This window comes from Homo sapiens, chromosome 10 (genome assembly GCF_000001405.40).
Source record: "Homo sapiens chromosome 10, GRCh38.p14 Primary Assembly".
In the NCBI taxonomy this organism is placed as follows: Eukaryota; Metazoa; Chordata; class Mammalia; order Primates; family Hominidae; genus Homo; species Homo sapiens.
In genome coordinates, this window is record NC_000010.11 from 94,250,409 (window position 1) to 94,272,905 (window position 22,497).

Here is a 22,497-nt window from a genome sequence, read left to right on the forward strand (position 1 = left end):
GAGAATCAGTTGAAACCGGGAGGCGGAGGTTGCAGTGAGCCAAGATCACACCACTGCACTCCAGCCTGGGCGACAGAGGGAGACTCCATCTCCAAGAAAAAAAAAAGAGAAGAAAGTATATCCTTCATCCATCCCAAACAAGTTTATTATTTTGTGTAAAACAAAAGAAAGATTAAAACTACATTTTACTTCCCAGAAAGCTTCCTTTAAAGACTAAACAAAGGTATCCTTCCTTTTCCTGACCTAAACATATTTCTGTTAGTGGTAAAGTTTGACCCATGTTGGGATGTTCTGAAATTAGAAAAATCAAAGCAGTATAGGTTAATGGTGCCAATTATTTTACATGTAAACTATAATGGGCCTATTAAGCTTTTAAAGATGTATTGGTTAAAATCCATAAATAAAAGTTTTACTCTTCTTTCAGATTCAGAGTATGTTATTCAAAATGGTAGTTAAAACGTATCCATTAGGTTTCATTCATGAAATGTTTATTCCAATTTGAAGTCACTCCTAGTGACTTGTTAGCAGGGATTCTCTTCAGCAGGCCTCCAGCAGATGGACTGATCTCCAACCATTTTCATTCTCTGTATCACTGCATTCAAGAACCCTGCTCCAGGAAGGGGCTTCTGATTGGCTTATTGGGATCATGTGCCAATCATTGGTCAAAGGAGGATATTTCATCTTGATTGACACACCCATCGAGACTATATCCAGTGGAGAATAGACAGTTAAAGTAAAATCGGGGTATGGTTAGAGAAGGGAGAAACAGATCATGGACAGCCATAAGTCACAATGTCCCACTATAAGAGGTCACCCAAAGGTTTCTTTGTCAAGTACCCAAGTTATTCAGCATCCTGGGATCCACAGCAGGATGCAGGAAGTGGGAATGCACAAGTCATAACATCAGATAGTTATTAAACATTAGGCTGAAGGAGCAAGCACACACACACACAAAGCTTCTTTGTTTTTTGCATATGATCTGCAACAAAGCAAAATCTATCCATAAGCATTTCTTTGGAACTGCAAAGGAGAGCCAGCCTGAAATGTTTTTGAAGAGTAAACACAGTACATGGAAATTAATTTTTAAAGAGCCCGCTTATACAGTGTATGAAATATCAATATCATCTTTAGCTCATAGGCAACTTTTTGTGGTTTTATTAACTGACTTATGGGGAGAATCATTGACAATTGTTTAATTAATAGATCCCTGCTGTTACTTACAGGATGCTACACAGAGTTGCCTTAGAAGCAGTAGCTACTGTGAACAATTGCCTGCCCCTTGAGTGTGTTGTTGCTGCTCAGAGCATCCTAATATGTATGGTGTTCTGAGTCCCATGGGCTCCCTATCTTTAGATTTCAGCCACTCAAGGGGATGGCAGCCCAACTATTTTAGGAGCTCCCTGGGGCCCTTCAAAGGGAATTTCATGCATGTCACACACACCCTGTATTTCAAGTCCGACTGTCCCAAGCATCAAACTAGTTGAAAACCTACCTGGCAATAATGGACAAATACAACTTGATTTTACTTAGATTGATACCCTGCCCCTCTCCCTTCCAGGATGTCCAAGGCCCTAATTTGCAAAGTAAGTCTAAATGAATTTTCCTACAGTGGTAGTTCTGCAATTTAACCTCTGTAAATGGGATGGGAAGTTTTTGTTCCCCAGTTGATGTATTAAAGCATGTCACTGGAACTCAGCAGTGATGTGACCAGGACAACGGGGGACATGATGAAATTCCTGACAGAGAATCTTGTGAGTTAGAAAACAGTCACTTGGGTGGCCAGATCATTATTCTTCTGTGGCCGTCTGTGCTCTTCCACCTCTTGGAATTTTCTGGGAGACATTAATATATTTACTTCCCCATTGCTTGATGCTTCCTATTGTGTTCACCATGTGGCTCTTTCACAGGAGGATGGACGGTATGAAGGCCCAACTTTGGCTCACGCTGTGGAGTTGTTTGGTGGCAGACGGTGGAGTGCTCGAAACCCCAGCCCCGGAACATCAGCAAAGAATGCTGAGAAGCCCAATATGCAGAGAAACAATACCCTGGGCATAAGCACTACCAAGAAAAAGAAGAAAATCCTCATGAGGGTAGAGTGTTATTTGTTTATTAAGCATTAAACCCATCTTCCAGGACCGCTGTATGGTGAACATCACCATAAAACACTTAAGGTTGTTTGGGTTGAGGACAAAGTCAGGTATAAAATAGAAGATACAAGGGCTTACCACATACCTCCATGGTGCCATGCTAGTGCCAGGAACACCAGGGAAAAGACAAGGTCCGCAGAAGGACATAGACATGTAAACAAACACAGTGCGAGCTAAAAAGAGACATCGTTGAGTCACCCACAAAGTGCTGTGGGGGCAGAGAGAAGGAAAATAGAGAGCTGAGGGGCAGGCACAGAGGGCTCCACAGAGCAACTGACACGCAGGTCTTGAAGAACGTGTAGGATTTTACCAAGCAAAGAACATAGGAGAAAGTATCCCCAGCAGAGGAGACAGCATAGAGGCATAAAAGACAGCTTGTTCAAGGAAGCACATGCTGTTCTGGATGGCTAGAGCATGAGCACTCTGTGGGCAAGGAAGGGCTAGAAGAGAACAGAGATCACAGAGGCCCCAAATACTGTGTGTAGAACACAATGTAAAGTATATTAGCACTGTGTATTATAAACTATATAATATGAAATATCACTATGAAGTGATAATATATTTGCTTCATGGCTATTTGTTTGTTTGTGTTGCTATAAAGAAATACTTGAGGCTGGGTAATTTATAAAGAAAGAAGGTTAATTGACTCACAGTTCTGCAGGTGTACAGGAAGCATGGTGCCAGCATCTGCTTCTGGTGACAGCCTCCGGAAGCTTACAGTCATGGCAGAAGGTGAAGCGGGAGCCAGCGCATGACATGGCAAGAGCAGGAGTGAGAGAGAAGGGGAGAGGTGCCACACACTTTTTTTTTCTCTTAGAAACAGGGTCTTGCTCTGTCACCCAGGCTGGAGTGCAGTGGTGTGATCATGGCTCACTGCAGCTTCAAACTCCTGGGCTCAAGCTGTTCTCCTGCCTCAGCCTGCCAAGTATCTGGGACCACAGGTGTACACCACCATGCCTGGCTAATTTTTTTTATTTTTTATAGAGACAGGGTCTCACTATGTTGCCCAGGCTGGTCTCGAACTCCAGGCCTTAAGTAATCCTATTGTCTCAGCCTCCCAAAGTGTTGGGATTACAGGCATGAGCCACCACACCCAGCCTACACACTTTTAAATAACTAGATCTTGTGTGAAGTCAGAGCTAGAACTCACTCATCACCAAGGGAATGATCCTCAGCCATTCATGAGGGATCCACCCCCATGATCCAAACACCTCCCACTAGGCCCCACCTCTAACACTGGGAATTACATTTCAACATGAGATTTGAAGGGGACAAACATCCAAACCATATCATCTATCTAGAAAAAGTGCCACTCTCTTTGCTTATGGGAGGCTTTGATGCTCATGTCAAATTTTATCTGCTTCACAGTTTTTTTCTGTACACAGAGGTTCCGGAGGTTCTGTGCCGCCTCTTGTCTGCCTCCCTCCCCTGAGGAGTACTGCTGTATAGTAAAGAACAACTGAAATAATATGACATGAGAATACTCGGTCAGCCTTAATGTAGGTCTTTACCGGTTTTACCAGGAAGAGGCAGTATTGAAGGTGGGTAGGTCAGAAAATAGAGACCTACCTGAACTAAAGCAGTGATGGGAGAGAAATACAGGCTTGGAACCATCGTGAGCTTTGTGTTCCCAGGGTGAGAGTGGAGAGGTAACTGACGATGAGATGGCAACCCGAAAGGCCAAGATGCACAAAGAGTGTCGAAGCCGGAGTGGTTCTGATCCTCAAGACATTAATGAACAAGAAGAATCAGGTAAAGCGGCATGTTTACATCTGAGATTTTTGTTTTTTAATTTTTGTGGGAAAAAAAGTATACATTTGGTTTTAAATTGTGATTTAAGCATTGCAAACATTTCTAACAAAACTCTTTGTCCTAACCAGACAATGAAACCTAAAGGTACTTCTGCAAGCATAGTGTGCTTGGAATAAAATCCCCATTAATTAACTTGCCATTACTGACAGGGAGTATTAGATATACATGGTATAATTTGATGGATTAAACCAGTGATTCTCAACCTTGGCTGCATATTAGAGCTTTTAAGAAAATCTGATTCCTCTGGCCACATCTAAGAATAACTGATTCAGATATTCTCTGGCTGGGACCTTGGGACCTGGACATCTTATTTATTTTTGAAGCTTCCCAGACAGTTCTAACATGTAGCCAGTTGAGACCCCACCAGATTAGCCCATTCATAAAGATATTTTGGTGCTGCTTGTATAGAAACCAGCTGCATAGGTTGATTTGCTCAGACATCCAGAAGCCTCTCTGGTTTGTATTTGGTTCTGAGGGAAAGTATAATCTGAGTCATTCTCTCTTTTCTGTCTTTCATCCTCACAGAGGTGAATGCCATCGCTAACCCTCCAAACCCCCTCCCTTCCAGAAGAGCCCACTCTTTGACCACAGCTGGGTCCCCCAACTTGGCTGCCGGGACGTCATCTCCCATCAGGCCAGTGTCCTCCCCTGTGCTGTCTTCTTCAAACAAGAGCCCATCCAGGTGGGGCCTTAACATGATAAAACAGAAGGACCCTTCACATTATTCCAGTTGTGTGGAAGGGCATATCTTTACAGTTGTCTATGGAAAGACTATTTCACATTTTGATGTATAGTTGAACTGAAAACTGAAAAATCCCAAAATTTTAAATGATCCTAATTCTCCCAATTTTGTACTCCTACCTTCTCATATTACTTCAAAGGTCAGTAGCAGTAACAAAACCTAAGCCATGATTCTCCAAATCTGTACTATCCAGTACACTAGCCACTAACTAGATGTGGGTATTTAAATTCAAATGTAAATTAATTAAAATTAAAGAAAATTTAAAATTCAGTTCCTCAGTCACAGTAGTGACATTTCAAGTGCTCCATAGCCACAAGAAGCTGATGGTTATTATCCCAAAGAGTGTAGATAGAGAACATTTCTTTTTATCATTGCAGAAAGTTCTATTGGATAGCACTGCTCTAAACGAAGAAGAGAGAATAGATTGTTTTAATGTAAACTATTTGGCCCCTTTGCTAATCGATGAAATATATTTAATACTTTTCTCATATGTAAGTTATGCATGTCTAGAGGAATGAATTCAAGTATCACAGCAAGTTGGATATGTTTAAGTATAAATCTAAAGCTGGATAAATTACTTTATAAGTTCCATGCAAATTACATATTTGAAACAATATCTTCCCTCTCAGAAGAAGGAATGATATTAAAATGGCAGACTTCCAAAGGGAACCAGAATGCTGCTCCATCCTCCTGTATCCCACATTAAAGTTTAAGAGATGTGGAGGTTCCAGACAGAACCAAGCTAAAACAGGAACTCTTTACTTTATCTCACACACACACACACACACACACACACACACACACACTCTCTCTCTCTCTCTCTCTCTCTCTCTCTCTCTCTCTCTCTCCCCACCCCTCCCTCTCTCCCCACGCCCCTCTCTCTCTTTCTCCCTTTCTCTCTCTTTCTCTTGGAAGCTTCTTATTAACAATCCTGGCTGGGCACGGTGGCTCTCACATGTAATCCTAGCACTTTAGGAGGTCAGGGAAGGAGGATCACTTGAGCCCCCAGGAATTCGAGACCAGCCTGAGCAACAGAAACCCCATCTCTACAAAAAGTAAAACAATTAGCGGGTGTGGTGGTTCTCACCTCTGGTCCCAGCTACTCAGGAGGCTGAGGTGTGAGAGTATCACTTGAGCCTGGGAGGTTCCGGCTGCAGTGAGCCATAATCATGCCATTGCGCTCCAGCCTAGGCAACAGAGTGAGAGCTTGTCTCAAAAAAAAAAAAAAAAAAGAAAGAAAGAAAGAAAGAAAAAGAAACAGAAAATAGAAAGAAAAAAGAATCCTACAGTAAATTATCTTTTAAATAAAAATTCTTTCACAATGTGAGCAATGAACTTATAATTTATGCTTTATACATTCACATTCTACAATGGGTGAGCATGGGTCAAGGTTATATGGGAATTCTTTGTACCACTCTTGCAACTTTTATGTAAATTTAGATTCATAACAAAACTAAAAGTTACAAAAATCAGAATCCTGTTTATTATACTTTCAGCCTGTGTAGTATCCTGGGTAAACAGCAAGGAACCTGGATTAAATGGCATTTCCCGTTTATTTCAATCATTCATGAGCAGGAAAAGAAAGGACGAAGTAAGGGAGGAAAATATTTTAAAAAGAGAAATTAACATGCCAGATGCAAGATCAGAAGGCCAACCCCAGGAGGACAGGGATCAGCACCCACTCAAGTGTTTTAAAACAGAAAGAAAACACAAGACAGGAGGAAAAATCAGCTTGAATGCTATTAAGGGAGAAAGCTAGACTGAATCCTAAGTCTGATAGTGGGAAGAGTGGACAAACAGAGTTTCCTAGAATCAAAGGGAGATGGGTTCCTACAGACAGTAGCTGGATCTGCAACCAGAAAGAAGCAAGACAGGAAATTTACTTCTTTAGCTGCAAATGATGAAGTCACCTTTTTCCTCTTCCTGCACCTCTACCCTATGTTTCCTGCACTACACTGGGGATCGACAACCTACAACCTATGACTACAAAATGCTAAAAAGCTATCAATTTGTAGTGCTCTTTCATTGCTGAAGGTGACCTTCAAATGTCAGCACAAATTAATTTTCCATGAGTGAACATTGTTAGCAGGGTTGAGAGTCACTTCAACAAACTATATATTTTATATTTATAGTCTTAAATATATAGTTTTTAGATTATATATTTAATATACATAAAATAGACTTCATGATATTCTCTATACTTTCTTATATATTTGAAATATTTCAAAAAAAACTTTTAAAATCCAAGACAAAAAAAAACAGGTCCTCTAGAACTAGAAATACCATTTGACCCAGCCATCCCATTACTGGGCATATACCCAAAGGATTATAAATCATGCTGCTATAAAGACACATGTACACGTATGTTTATTGCGGCACTATTCACAATAGCAAAGACTTGGAACCAACCCAAATGTCCATCAATGATAGACTGGATTAAGAAAATGTGACACATAGACACCATTGGAATACTATGCAGCCATAAAAAGGATGAGCTTCATGTCCTTTGTGGGGACATAGATGAAGCTGGAAACCATCATTCTCAGCAAACTATCGCAAGGACAGAAAACCAAACACCGCGTGTTCTCACTCATAGGTAGGAATTGAACAATGAGAACACTTGGACACAGGGCGGGGAATATCACACACCAGGGCCTGTTGTGGGGTGGAGGGAGGAGGGAGGGATAGCATTAGGAGATATACCTAATGTAAAGGACGAGTTAATGGGTGCAGCATACCAACATGGCACATGTATACATATGTAACAAACCTGTACATTGTGCACATGTACCCTAGAACTTAAAGTATAATTTAAAAAATAGATCCTGTTCATTAATTTGACTACAAACCATAATCAAAACATCTCTCATACCATTGTGTCAGGAAATCAGTATAGAAAATAAAAAATGTTGTGAAACAGTAAGTCTGTTCTGAGTTGACTGATATTTCTACATTGAATAGATGCAGCCTTGGAAGGTGCAAATATAATCCTAGTCAAAGCTGGCTTTTTTCCATTCTTTTTTAAATTTTCTAAAATTAGAGACAGTGCCTCACTATGTTGGCCAGGCTGGTTTCGAACACCTGGGGTCAAGCAATCTTCCCACCTCAGCCTTCCAAAGTGCTGAGATTATAAGCATGAGCCACCGCACCCAGCCCTTTCCATTCTTAACATTTTTCCGGTTCACATTTTTCATTAATATTTAAAAGCTCTTCTCTGTTTTCATCTAAGGACTGGTTAAGAAAGGAATCAGACAATACACTCAAAGGTTTCTTCTTAAATGTAATTCTATAACTTAGAATATAGAAAAGAACGTGCATTATTTCCCATAGATTAAGAGTGAGTAATTTGGGGCTCTTTTTAATAGACATCTTCAGAAACACTGAGTTATTTTGCCCATTGATCTGCAATTTCAAAGAACTGATTTGATTAATAGAGGAATATTAACCTCAGCCCTGGGCCCTTATTAAATAGACTAGAAACATGTTTTCTTTTTCACATAGAACATGTTTTATTTCCTCTGATACAATATAGGTTAAGAGATGTGAAAAGAGAGTACTGGAAAATAGCTTCAATCTTAAATAACTTGCACTCATCCTTTTGCTCATATTGCTAATTGGAGCAAGTCTGGTGGGACAGAATCACAACAGTGGCCTGCCCTTGTGCCCATGAAGGCCTTGTCTTTGTTGCAGTGCTTGGAGCAGTAGTAGCTGGCACGGGCGGATCAAAGGCGGCATGAAGGGATTTCAGAGCTTCATGGTTTCAGATAGCAACATGAGTTTTGTTGAATTTGTTGAGCTGTTCAAATCATTCAGGTACAGTCTTATGTTTCCTTCTTATTCTTTCTCAGGCCCCCCCATTTCTATAAAGATACTCAATGAGAGGTGTTTTCCATTCCTCATTCAGTGTCAGGAGCCGCAAGGACCTGAAGGATCTGTTTGATGTCTATGCAGTGCCCTGCAACCGATCTGGCTCCGAGTCAGCCCCACTCTACACCAACCTGACAATTGATGAAAACACCAGCGATCTTCAGCCTGACCTAGGTTTGTTGAACATTTTAGGATTTCCCTTTGGGATCAATCTGTCTAAAACTTAAGGTCAGAGGTCCAGTCACACAAACTCTGAGCCTGTCCCACATAGTGTGCTATTACTGCTGTGTAGGGAAAGACTTAAGAGAATTTTTTTTTTTTTTTTGAGATGCAGTCTCACTCTGTAGCCCAGGCTGGAGTGCAGTGGTGCAATCTCAGCTCACTGCTACCTCCACCTCCCGGGTTCAATTGATTCTCCTGCCTCAGCCTCCTGAGTAGCTGGGACTACTGGCATGTGCCACCATGCCTGGCTAATTTTTTGTATTTTTAATAGAGACAAGGGTTTCACCATGTTAGCCAGAATGGTCTCGATCTCCTGACCTCGTGATCTGCCACCTCAGCCTCCCAAAGTGCTGAGTTTACAGGCATGAGCCACCTCACCTGGCCAACACTTAGAGAATTATTTTAAGGTGTCATCTGGTGTTGAGGGAGCAGGTGCTACTGGCATTTTGAGCAAAGAAATTCATCATTGTGTGGTTCTGCCCATGTATTTATTTAACCAATAAAGCCTTCCAGTCATTCTGACAACCAAAAACCCTTTCCCGACTATATTAGTCCATTTTCATGCTGCTGATGAAGACATACCCAAGACTGGGTAATTTATAAGGAAAAAGAGGTTTAAGGGGCTCACAGTTCCACCTGGCTGGGGAGGCCTTACAATCATGGAAGAAGATGAAAGGCGTGTCTCACATGGCAGCAGACAAGAGAACTTGTGCAGGAAAAACTCCCCTTTATAAAACCATCAGATCTCATGAGACTTATTCACTATCATGAGAACATTTTCACATGGGAAAGACCTGCCCCCATGATTCAACTACCTCCCACCAGGTCCCTTCCACAACATGGAATTGTGGGAGCTACAATTCAAGATGAAATTTGGGTGGGGACACAGCCAAACCATATCACTGACCATTTCCAAATGTCTGCTAGGTATGTGGTGTGTGTCACAGTGGAGAACCCCCAGTCTCTTCCCTACCTACAGACAGTTGTGTGTTCAATCACAGGGCAGTAGTCTCCTGCCCTTTGACAAGGAGAGTCTTTAGCGCCTTCCACAGGGTACTTCTGTCTGAATGATTGTCCAGGATATATTTCCTACTGTATAAACAAGAATGTCTCATTCTTCTATCTCACTCACCACCACCACCATTACTATCACCACCCATGCATTTTCTAACCACTTATGCATTTCCAGCCTATCATTTTCCTCCTCTGTTCTTCCTGGAAACTATAAACACAAATAGCAAAACAAAAAACTTTCCTCTTTTATGCAGTTGCTTCATAATTATTTATAAGTTTATGTTGTCCTTGAGCTAAGACTATTAAGTATTGTTCAACTTTAGTCATAAAATCTCCATAACCATGGATTAGTCAAGTAGTTACATTTTTCAAAAATTATTGGACTTTATTTTTTGTTCTATTATATTTTATTATTTTATTATTTATCATGATTTTCATGTATTTTTTATTTTTGTTTTATTTTAAAATATTATTATTTTAAAATAATGTAATTTTTTGTAGAGACAGGGTCTTGCTCTGTTGACCAGGCTGCTCTCAAACTCCTAGCCTCAAGCAATCCTCCTGCCTCAGCTTCCCAAAGTGCAGGGATCTTAGGCATGAGCCTCCATGCCCAGCTTAGACTTTATTTTTAGAGCAATTTTAGGTTTATGGAAAAATGAGTGGAAAGTACAGAGTTCCAATATACTCTCTTCTACTCTCCCACACAGACTTTCTTCTGTTAGTAATATCTGGCATTAGTGTAGTACATTTGTTACAATTGAGTTAATATTGATATATTATGATGAACTGAAGTCCATAGTTAACGTTAGGATTCACTGTTTGTGTTGTGCATTCTATGGGTTTTGACAAATGTGTAATGACATGTATCCACCTTTACAGTATCATACAGGACAGTTTCACTGCCCTGAAAGTTCCTTATGCTTCATTTTTCCATCCCCCCCGCGACCTCCCTCCAAATCCCTGGCAGCCACTGCTCTTTTTATTATCTCCATAGTTTTGCCTTTTCCAGAATGTCATATAGTTGGAATCACACAGTACATAGCATTTTCAGACTGGCGTCTTTCACTTAGCAATATGCATTTAAGTTTCCTTCCTCCGTGGCTTTTTGCAGCTTGGTAGCCCATTTCTTTTTACCCTGGGTAACATTCCATTTTGCGGAGGTACTACAGTTTGTTTATCCATTCACCTACTGAAGTATATCTTGGTTGCTTCCAAGTTTTAGCAATTATGAATAAAGCTGCTATAAACATTTGTATTCAGGTTTTTGTGTGGGCATAAGTTTTTCCATCATTTGGGTAAATACCTAAGAGTGCAATTGCTGGATCATATGGTAAGCCTATGTTTAGCTCCATAAGAAACTGCCAGACTGTCTTCCAAAGTGGCTAAAATTAAAATGGCCATACCAAAGTTGGTGCGAATGTGAAGCAATTGGAACATTGCAGGTGGGAATGTAAACTGGTACAACCACTTTGGAAGACAGTGTGGCAGTTTCTTACTAAGCTAAACATATTCCTTCCATGTGACCAGCAATTACAGTACTTGGTATTTACCCAAATGAGTTGAAAAATTTATATTCACATAAAAATCTGTAAACAAATGCTTATATTAAACAGTAAAACTGTAATTTTAAGGGTATATCTTCAATCTCTACAAACAAAAATGTGCAAGTAGTTACTCCCTAAAACCAAAGCCTGAATTTCACCTAAGTCCCCAGCTGAACCTACATTTAGTTGCCATGTAATACCACATGGGATATCAAGATCATCAACCTAGCTCTGTCTTCTTTTCCTTTTTTTTTTTTTTTTTGAGACAGACTCTCACTCTGTTGCCCAGGCTAGAGTGCAGTGGCGTAATCTTGGCTCACTGCAACCGCCGCCTCCTGGGTTCAAGCAACTCTTATGCCTCAGCCTCCCGAGTGGCTGGGACTACAGGTGCACACCACCATGCCTGGCTAATTTTTGTATTTCTAGTAGAGACGGGGATTCACCATGTTGGCCAGGCTGGTCTTGAGCTCCAGACCTCAGGTGGTCCACCTGCCTCAGCCTCCCAAAGTGCTAGGATTACAGTCATGAGCCACCATGCTCAGCCTTTATTTATTCATTGATTTGTTTTTTATTCCTATCACTATGTGAAGCCAGAAATAAACACTTCTTTGATGGCTTGTTTAGGTACATTAGTAAAGAGCTTCTCCATTTTAATAACTCCACACCATTATCTCCAAAATGAACTTTGCAAAAGATGCTGGCTATCTTGTCCATGTACTGTGGTGATTCTGTTTCAGATCTGTTGACCAGAAATGTCTCGGATTTGGGGTTGTTCATTAAGAGTAAACAGCAGCTATCGGACAACCAGAGGCAGATATCTGATGCCATTGCTGCTGCAAGCATTGTGACAAATGGCACTGGGATTGAGAGCACATCTCTGGGCATTTTTGGGGTGGGCATACTTCAGCTCAACGATTTCCTCGTGAATTGCCAAGGAGAACACTGCACTTATGATGAAATCCTCAGCATCATCCAGGTTTGTGCCTGTTTTGTGTGTGCATGTGTGTGTGATGCCTCTGGCTATTCTAATAATTTGCTGCTAAATGTTTATTCTTTCTATACTTCTTTCCAAAGCCTTTAAATCTGGGACAGATATACAGTTTTGTTTTTTTTTTTGTTTTTTTGGGTGTTTTTGAGACAGAGTCTTACTCTGTGGCCAGGCTGGAGTGCAGTGGTGTGATCTCGGCTCACTACAACCTCCGCCTCCCAGGTTCAAACGATTCTCCTGCCTCAGCCTCCTGAGTAGCTGGGACTACAGGTGTGCGCCACCACGCCCAGCTAATTTTTGTGTTTTTAGTAGAGATGGGGTTTCACCATGTTGGCCAGGATGGTCTCAATCTCTTGACCTCGTGATCTGCCCACCTCGGCCTCCCAAAGTGCTGGGATTACAGGCGTGAGCCACTGCGCCCGACCTTGTTTTGTTTTGTTTTTTTAACAAAATACCAAGTATGTTTTTTAACAAAATACCAAGTATGGGCTGGGTGTGGTGGTTCATGCCTGTAATCCCAGCACTCTGGGAGGCTGAGGCCGGTGGATCACCTGAGATCAGGAGTTCAAGACCAGTCTGGCCAACATGGTGAAACTGCATCTCCACTAAAAATACAAAAATTAGCCAGGTGTGGTGGTGCGTGCCTGTAATCCCAGCTACCTGGGAGAGTGGAGCAGGAGAATCACTGGAACACGGGAGGCAGAGACTGCAGTGAGCTGAGATCACACCACTGCATTCCAGCCTCGGCAACAGAGCAAGACCCCATCTCAAAAAAAAAAAAAAAAAGAAAAAGAAAAATCAGCCAGGCATGGTGGTCCACGCTTATAATCCCAGCTACCTGGGAGGCTGAGACACGAGAATCGCTTGAGCCCAGGAGTCACAGAGGTTGCAGTGAGCTAAGATCACACCACCGCACACCAGTCTGGGTAACAGAGCGAAACCCTGTCTCAAAAAAACAAACAAAAAACAAGTATGTAAGTGTTCTTCTTTAACATATTATTAGTGTATTATTACATAATATGTTTTTCTTTAACATATTATATGTTCTTCTTTAACATTATTAGTGTAATAATATTAACATATTATTAGTGTATTATTACATATTAATGTAGGTCCCAGGCTTTCTCTAACTCAGTAACTATTATAAGGAGTTGGTACATAATTTTTTGTTGTTATTCTAGAACATGCAACAGATTTAGTCTAGGTTTTCAACCTCATTAGTCATTAAATGAACATGCACTAGTTCCTACTATGCTGGCTCAGTTTTAGGAGGTGGGAATATAGCAGAGAATAAGATAAAAGTTCTGGTCCTCAATGCAGCTTACATTCTAGAAGGTGAGGCAGACAACAAAGATACGATGTAATTTCAGGTAATAATGGGGTAGGGGAAAAACTGAGTCAAGTAAAGGAATGGAATGATACAGGAGGTGGGCTGAGGAGAGTAAGCAAAGGCCACTTGGAAGAGGTGGCATTTGGACTGAGCCCTAAGTCAATAACCAGTTTGATGGTCTCGGGAAAGAGCATTCCCCACAGGGAGCCACAAGGTCAAAGACCAAGACAGCAGCAAGCTGGGGGTTTATGAGGAACCACAAAAAGCTGGTGTACTGTGAGCTGCACAAGCCAGGCAGAGAATGGCAGGCATGGTGTCAGACAGATGTGCAAGGGCCCAATCATCCGGGCCTTTTAGAGCTTGATAAGGAGGTTGGCTTTAGTCCATGTGAAATGGGATACCACTGAAATTTTTGAGCAGGGGAGTAACATGATTTGATTTTTTTTTTTTTTTTTTTTTTTTTTTGAGACAGAGTCTTGCTCTGTCACCCAGGCTGGAGGGCAGTGGCGCGATCTTTGTTCACTGCAACCTCCGCCTCCCAGGTTCAAGCAATTCTCCTGCCTCAGCCTCCCAAGTAGCTGGGATTACAGGCACACAGCACCATGCCCAGCTAATTTTTGTATTTTTACTAGAGATGGGGTTTCACCATGTTGGCCAGGCTGGTCTCGAACTCCTGACCTCGTGATCCACCCACCTCAGCCTCCCAAAGTGCTAGGATTACAGGCGTGAGCCACCGCGCCTGGCTGATTTATTTTTTATGAGATTACTCTGAGCCACGCATGGTGGCACAAACCTGTAGTCCCAGCTACTCAGGAAGCTGAGGCAGAAGGATTGCCTGAGCCCAGAAGTTTGAGGCCAGGCTGGGCAATATAGTAAGACCCTGTCTCTAAAACAAAATTTTAAGTGGTTACTCTGGCCCCATTGTAAACTGTGTGGGTGAAGGAACAGATGCAGAGAGACTGCTTAGGAAGCTATCATAGTAACCAGCAATAGCTGGTGAAGGTTTACACTACAGGGTGTCAGCAGAGAGGAGCGGTGTGGCTCCATGCAACAAATGAGTCTAGGTTTCAACCTCCCTTATCACCTGACTGGGTATCAGTGTATTAGTTGTCCAGCAGTTGGATTTGATCACCGAAAATGCTAAAATTGTGAGATTACTATCACACTGTTGAGTGCTCATTATGATTTTACTAAATACAGGCATGGCACTAAGTGCTCTATGTGAATCATCTCAGTTCACCTCTCACCAACTTTATGGTAGCTGCTATTATTATCCCCATTTTCACCTGGATAAACTGATACACTTTGTTTTCATAGAAATCAGCCTTCTTTTCTCATTCTCTTCTTTTTTCTATTAAATAAATATGCTTAGTATAATAAACTCACATATAATAAATGTTTTCTTTTGGACTAAAAACTACTTCTTACCACTACGTTACTAAATTAGTTCAAATATTTGGTTTAGATGTTTCCTGATGAAAACAGAACAGCTTTAAAAAATGATGTGGTGGTTTCTTTCCCCCTCTTAGTTTCCTTAACCTAAATAACACTTTTTTTTTTAATCCCTTGCAGAAGTTCGAGCCTAGCATCAGTATGTGTCATCAGGGACTAATGTCATTTGAAGGGTTTGCCAGGTAACTTTTAAAATATCTTTTGCCCATCTTTTAAGAGTAGATGCATTTTTCCCATGCAGTCTTAAGAAAATTTGTTTCACCTAGGTTTCTGATGGATAAAGAAAATTTTGCCTCAAAAAATGATGAGTCACAGGAGAACATTAAAGAACTGCAGCTACCCCTCTCATACTATTACATCGAATCTTCGCACAATACCTACCTCACGGGCCATCAGCTCAAAGGAGAATCCTCGGTAGAACTCTACAGCCAGGTACAGGGAATGCCACTTGGAATGTGGTTTTTATTAAACCTAATTATTTATGTAACCCCCAAAGTCAAAAAAACCTGACCCCAGACTCCTTTGAAGAGCTTATAGAGTAAGCTATTACATGTCAAATGTGAGGAACCATGATGTGTGGGAAAACTGGCTATACTACAGCAGTCGTTTTCTTTACTTCTTTTGTTTTGTTTTCCCCCATCTATACTTAACCTTTATTCTGGGCCAAAATGAAAGTGTTTGTTTGAGACTCATAGCTTTTAGATCCTAGTTAGTCTGACCTACTCCCACTAAAATTAGATTTTCCCATGGGAAAATTATCTAATCGTCTCTCTAACTGCTAAATAATATATTGTAGTGGGAAAGCATAGTAGAAAATGCAACTTCCTATGTACTTATTCCCAAAATATTGTTTGTTTTGCTTTTCAGTTTGTTAAATAATCAATCTATCCCTATGGTAACCAAAAAAAATGCAGAAAAAAATCTACACAGACTTTAGGCACTGTCCCTACACATTAAATTCATCAGAATGTTCTTTGAAACTCAGTAGGTTCTCTAGACTAGAAAAAGTACATCCTTTTGACCTAAACATCCAACTTGCAATGATCTGCGTGTCCATTGCCTCTCTGCTGGATGGTCTGCAGCTTCCTCATCTATTCTGCCTTTTTTCTTAACTCTTTCAAGAAGGGTCAATTCGGTTGGAGCCAGGCAGGGAATATAAGTGTGTCATTGTGTGCACACGTGGGTCCAGGTTTGAAAACTACAGGTGTATTGTTTACATAACCCCAGCACCAGTGAGGTTTCTTTGTTCTCCAGATTAGTCCAGATATTCCTCAAAGCATGGGGCAATTTTTTGTCCCAAAGCTTGCTTAGCGGGAATATGTATTTTAAACTCTATTTTCTAAGGAAACTTTATTATGAATGAAGATGTGTTCTTAGAGCAGTGATTTTCAAAATAGAAGTTCTGTCATGGGGCCTCAGCCCCCCACACTGAGATGAGGAAGCCAGAGAGTAGGAGGGGTGCCATACGCTGCCCCATTTCAGGTAATGTACTACTCCTCTACACACTACATACTGGCCCTCCCTTCGCACACAGAATGCCAAAGTTAAAAGAAGTTTGAAATCCATTATTCTATAGGAATGAAATTAAATATACATATAAATACAGATACTTATATATATTTCATATACACATTTGTAGGTACACACATATACATGCGTGTACATATATGTGTAAGTGCATATATACATATCTATGTATATTTATGTACTTGTGTGTATCCACATTTATCCCAGGGAAATAAACAAGGACCAGTGTCCTGGCTTTAATTTCTATTTCATTCCTCTGTTTGACTTCAAACAGTTTTTAAACCTCTTAATATCACACCCCAAGGAGAGACTCTCACAGCTTTTGAATAAGGCACAAGAACCCCTCAAATAGACTCAGAGATGTGACTAAACCTAGTGTGCAGGTGGATCCCTCTTACTTCATTTCTAACCCCTCTCCACTCTTCCTTAGCCCTTCCTAATTACCTCTTAACATTACTCCATGGGGCAAATGGGAAGTGAGAATAAGCCCTGTTCTTCTCATCTAGAATTTCCAGCCCAGGTTTTCCTCTTCTAGCCATATGTGGATATCTAAGGTTACACAGACTTTGGTGAAGACCTTTAGTCCTTCAATGCTGAAAAGCCATCTCATCTGTTGCCAGTTGCTGAACATTATTCCTGGTCTGGCAGGGGCACCACAGAGATAAGCAGCTTGGTGTTCCAGCCACCATTTTACATAGCAATTTCCAGCCCAAGGCACTGCACCTCTAGATACTCTAGCTGCTGAAAGAAGCAGATAGCCTTGAGATTCTAGGCCACTGACTATGCTGTAAAATAGGAAGAATATAGCACTTATCCCATATAAAAGTGTTAAAATGAGAATCATTCCACTATCTGAGCTTAGTTGCAGAAACTCTAGTGGCCACTAAGCCCCAGTAATGGATTGCTGTCACACAGAAATAGTTATGTGCATTCTAAAATCAGTGGGTAGGCACATTTACAGATGTATCAATTTCTTGGCTTGGGTCACTATTCCAGTATGTAATAATTTTTTAAGATGATGTACAGATCTATGGAGGAAGAGGTTGCTTCAAGCAAACTTTATAGAGTTGCAACCCAAGCACATGTATTGAGCTCTGCTTCCCACTTCAGATCCAGGATAACAAATAGGTATCAGCTCATCTGATTCTTTGGTAGTGTTTTCTGGAGCACTTTAATAAAGAGGTTATGAGCTAACATATTAAAGCTTAAAGGACAAGTGTGCCTAGCTTGATTACTGATGTCTGCTGTGGGTATGGGAGAAAGGAACCATTTATGGATTATTTGCCATCCCTGCTCTAGTTGCTATTCTGGAATTAGATAGCCAGGCAAATCCTTGATAACTCTGCTTCCACTCTTCTTACATGTTATGCATTCACAGCAAAGATGTTTAATCGTGGCTTAATTTGGGTCTTAATGGAAGTGATTTTATCCTGATTGGCTTGCTGTAAATGTTTAGCCAGTTCATTAAGGACTCAGTGGCCTTATTTTCTCTGGGCTGTGGCATCAGCATTTTCACCTCCATTGATGTCTACCCAGATAGAGAGCACTTGCCTGGCTCTCTAATTTGAAGACGTGCCCTTTCAAGGGGCCAAAGTTGCTAGGAAAATGGCCATATGGTTTTGCTATCAAATTTTACTTTCCTTTAATATCCAGCTCTGGTAAACACTCTTTCTACCTTAATCTGTTCCCTTCCTTCCCCACTCTGGATTAATTGTGGCCTTTGGCAAAAATGCCATGTTTGTTTTAGACCATTTGCCCTTCTGCTTTAGTCCTGAGTGTAAACACTGCCTGATATGTAGAACTACATGCTGGGTTTAGTTCGAGGCTTTATCTCCAGGTGCTCACCTGGGGTGGATTCGCTCATTGATCACACAGGTCCTTTTGCAAGGCTGTCGAAGTGTAGAATTGGACTGCTGGGACGGAGACGATGGGATGCCCATCATTTATCATGGACATACGCTGACAACCAAGATCCCCTTCAAGGTAATCCTTCATAACTTTCTTTAAATCAAATCACAAAGAGACATTATCTTCATTTGTCTTTTTTTTTTTTTTTTTTTTTTTTTGAGACGGGTTCTCGCTCTGTTATCCAGGCTGGAGTAGAGTGGTACCATCTTGGCTCACTGCAACCTCTGCCTCCGAGGTTCAAGAGATTCTCCTACATCAGCCTCCCAAGTAGCTAGGATTACAAGCCCATACCATCAAGCCCAGCCAATTTTTGTATTTCCAGTAGAGATGGGGTTTCACCACGTTGGCCAGGCTGGTCTCAAACTCCTGACCTCAAGTGCTCCGCCCGCCCCTCAGCCTCCCAAAGTACCGGGATTACAGACGTGAGCCACCGTGCCTGGCCTTCATTCTTTATTTAAATCAGTGACTTGACCAAATTACACCTTAGATCAAGGGTCTTTATGCTGGGTCTAAATGAAGACTTCCCAAAAGTGTTTGCTGTATCATGTGGAATGTGCACATGTTCATTTTTCTGGAGTTAATCTAGAACTCTCATTAGATTCCCCATTCAACCCAAGTTAGTAACCATTACCTTACATTAGTTAGCATGTAATAATATTGTTGCAATTTTTACGTAATATGATATATAAAGGCAAGGTCTATTTTCCTGCTATAGGAATTAATGGTCATTTGTCCTAGTGTCATGCTGACAAAGGCCAATGTCAGGAGTTAGGAGATGGTTAAATAGTTAGCATTATAATGTAATGAGCATCAGTTCCACCTAAGAAGATTGGTCACCCAGGAAGACTGATCTCACTGGATTTGTGTTTCAAATTCTGGGTAGCTTATTAGTTGAGTTATGCAATTACTACCTTCATTCAGAGGGTCTTAGGCTATATAACATAATTTTTCTCTGAACTGTGGCCAGGTTGTGAAGGAATATTATTTTTATTTTACATGTAGAAATAGTGGCTAAAATGCATTTTCTCCTCAACTTGGTTTCCTATTTAGCATTCCTAAAACTCCTGTATGCTATATTGGCATGGGCATGAGTTGATAACTGTGTTTACATATACACATAAATATATGTGACATATGTCTTATTGCCTCAAATAAATTATAAACTCTTTATAAGCAAGAAAGTATTTTATGCTTAATTATGTTTGCTGCTATAACTAGGACAGTGTCTTTTACCTGCAATATACTCTATATATGTATACAGAGAGAGTATATGTATATAAATAGATTTGTTAAATTCAATATGATAGTTGTTCCTTATAGTATGTGAACAATACTCACTATAAAGTTTAATGTCTTTCTACAAAATGGCCTTATCCTCATGCTTCATTTGAAAATACGAAAACCATCTTTGGCCAGAGTCTGCTGCATGTAACAATTGAGATGCTTTCTGTGGCTATAACTACCCTGCCTTCTGACCACCTTGACAGATATCTGGACTCTAATGAGCTGTTTTGGCTCTCATAGGAAGTGGTTGAAGCCATTGATCGCAGTGCCTTCATCAACTCTGACCTGCCAATCATCATATCGATTGAGAACCACTGTTCATTGCCTCAGCAACGAAAAATGGCAGAAATTTTCAAGGTGAGCTCTCAACAAAAAGGCAGGATGGTATGTTGGCCCTTGTTTTGCAATTGTCATTGGGTTGTTTTGTTTTGTTTTGTTTTTTGAGACAGAGTCTCGCTCTCTCACCCAGGCTGGAGTGCAGTGGTGCAGTCTTGGCTCACTGCAACCTCTGCCTCTGAGGTTCAAGCGATTGTCCTGCCTCAGCCTCCCGAGTAGCTGGGATTACCAGCATGCGCCCCCATGCCTGGCTAATTTTTGTATTTTTAGTAGAGATGAGGTTTCGCCATGATGGCCAGGCTGCTCTGGAACTCCTGGCTTCAAGTGATCCACCCATCTCGGCCTCCCAAAGTACTGGGATTATAGGCGTGAGACACTGCACCCAGCCGTCATTAGGTTTAAATGAGGCCTTTGTGGACTATGCTGCAATTAGACCTTGGCTGTGAAGCATATACAGTTAGGGTCCCACAAACCTGAGAAATTGGGCTGTTCTTAGAGCCTGGGCCCTCTCTGGGATGGTCCCTATTTTCAGCTGGAGTGATATAAGTATTGCTCTCTGGTCTCCTTACCCTTTCCAGAAAGCCTTAGGAGATTAGGATAGACCAACTCTCCAACACTTCTGGTACCACAAGTCAGGGATGCCAGGATGTCATCTGTCAGTTGTATGTGGAAAAGCTGAAAATATCTCAGGGCAAGTAAGTCAAATCTTATAGGAGAAGATCATCTTTTTTTTTTTTTTTTTTTTTTTTTTGCGATGGAGTCTCGCTCTGTCACCCAGGCTGGAGTGCAGTGGTGCAATCTCTGCTCACTGCAAGCTCTGCCTCCCAGGTTCACACCATTCTCCTGCCTCAGCCTCCTGAGTAGCTGGGACTACAGGCGCCCACCACCACGTCTGGCTAATTTTTTGTATTTTTAGTAGAGATGGGGTTTCACCATGTTAGCCAGGATGGTCTCGAACTCCTGACCTCATGATCCACCCACCTCAGCCTCCCAGAGTGCTGGGATTACATACGTGAGGCACCGCACCCAGCCAAGAAGATCTTCTTATACCACAGTACAAAGATCCAAGTTAGCAAAGAGCTTAGACTGGCCAGAACAGTTGCTGTGTTAACAGTCAGTCCTTCCTTATATAAGGGTATGATAATGTATCAGGGGAACCTGCCCCCAATGTTTCAACGTAGGTTCTTTCTATTTTCCCTAAGTGTCAGCCAGTCTGAGATATAAAGAGAAAGAATACAAAGAGAGGAATTTTACAGCTGGGCTGCTGGGGGCGACATCACATATTGATAGGTCCATGATGCCCACCTGAGCCGCAAACCCAGCAAGTTTTATTAAGGATTTCAAAAGGGGTTTACAAACAGGGAGTAGGTCACATGCTTCAAGGGACAAAAGGCAGAGCAAGGATCACATGCTTCTGAGGAAACAGGACCAGGGCAAAATCAGAAACTCCTGATAAGGGTCTACGTTCAGCGGTGTACGTATTGTCTTGATAAACATATTAACAGAAAACAGGGTTCAAGAGCAGAGAACCGGTCTGACCTCAAATTTACCAGGGCTGGGGTTTCCCAATCCTAGTAAGCCTGAAGGTACTGCAGGAGACCAGGGCATGTCTCAGTCCTTATCTCAACTGCATAGGACAGACATTCCCAGAGCAGCTGTTTATAGACCTCCCCCCAGGAATGCAATTCTTTTCCTAGGGTCTTAATATTATATTCCTTGCTAGGAAAAGAATTTAGCAATATCTCTCCTACTTGCACGTCTGTTTATAGGCTCTCTGCAACAAGAAAAATATGGCTCTTTTTGCCTGACCCTGCAGGCGGTCACACCTTATGGTTGTCTTCCCTTGTTCCCTAAAATCGCTGTTATTCTGTTCATTTTCAAGGTGCACTGATTTCATATTGTCCAAACACACATGTTTTACAATCAATTTGTACAATAGTGGTCCTGAGGTGACGTACATTTTCAGCTTACAAAGATAACAGGATTAAGAGATTGAAGTAAAGACAGGCATAAGAAATTAAAAAGTATGAATTTTGGGAACGATAAACGTCCGTGAAATCTTCACAATTTATGTTCCTCTGCCACGGCTCCAGCTGGTCCCTCCGTTCGGGATCCCTGACTTCCCACAACAATAATGCACCCAGATTTAGAAGCAGATATTCCATTATACTTCCCCCTTCCTTTAATGGTAGAGGCATTTGTGGAAATGAGGCTCTCAGTGGGAAAGAGGGGCACTGACAAAATGTCCCCAAATATTAATGCCAACAAAACTAATTAACTTTTCATATTGTCCTGGCCTAAGCTTTGATTTTTTTTTTCAATTA

The 22,497-nt window shown here is 41.3% G+C and overlaps 1 protein-coding gene across 32 annotated transcripts in view; it reads left to right on the top strand.

Annotated features, from left to right (window-relative positions):
* Nucleotides 1–22,497, top strand: part of PLCE1 (phospholipase C epsilon 1) — a 338,893-nt gene that overhangs the window by 256,478 nt on the left and 59,918 nt on the right. For 23 of the 32 annotated variants that reach the window (XM_047425285.1, XM_047425289.1, XM_047425287.1 and 20 more), the window contains 10 exons: nt 1,908–2,090; nt 3,782–3,899; nt 4,485–4,641; nt 8,392–8,514; nt 8,606–8,742; nt 12,086–12,324; nt 15,239–15,300; nt 15,385–15,550; nt 18,521–18,628; nt 20,078–20,194. In XM_047425285.1, the coding sequence (XP_047281241.1) occupies nt 1,908–2,090; nt 3,782–3,899; nt 4,485–4,641; nt 8,392–8,514; nt 8,606–8,742; nt 12,086–12,324; nt 15,239–15,300; nt 15,385–15,550; nt 18,521–18,628; nt 20,078–20,194 (1,410 nt within the window). The remainder of the gene's footprint in view (nt 1–1,907; nt 2,091–3,781; nt 3,900–4,484; nt 4,642–8,391; nt 8,515–8,605; nt 8,743–12,085; nt 12,325–15,238; nt 15,301–15,384; nt 15,551–18,520; nt 18,629–20,077; nt 20,195–22,497) is intronic. The other 9 variants (XM_047425297.1, NM_001288989.2, XM_047425296.1 and 6 more) reach the window with 1 other exon arrangement.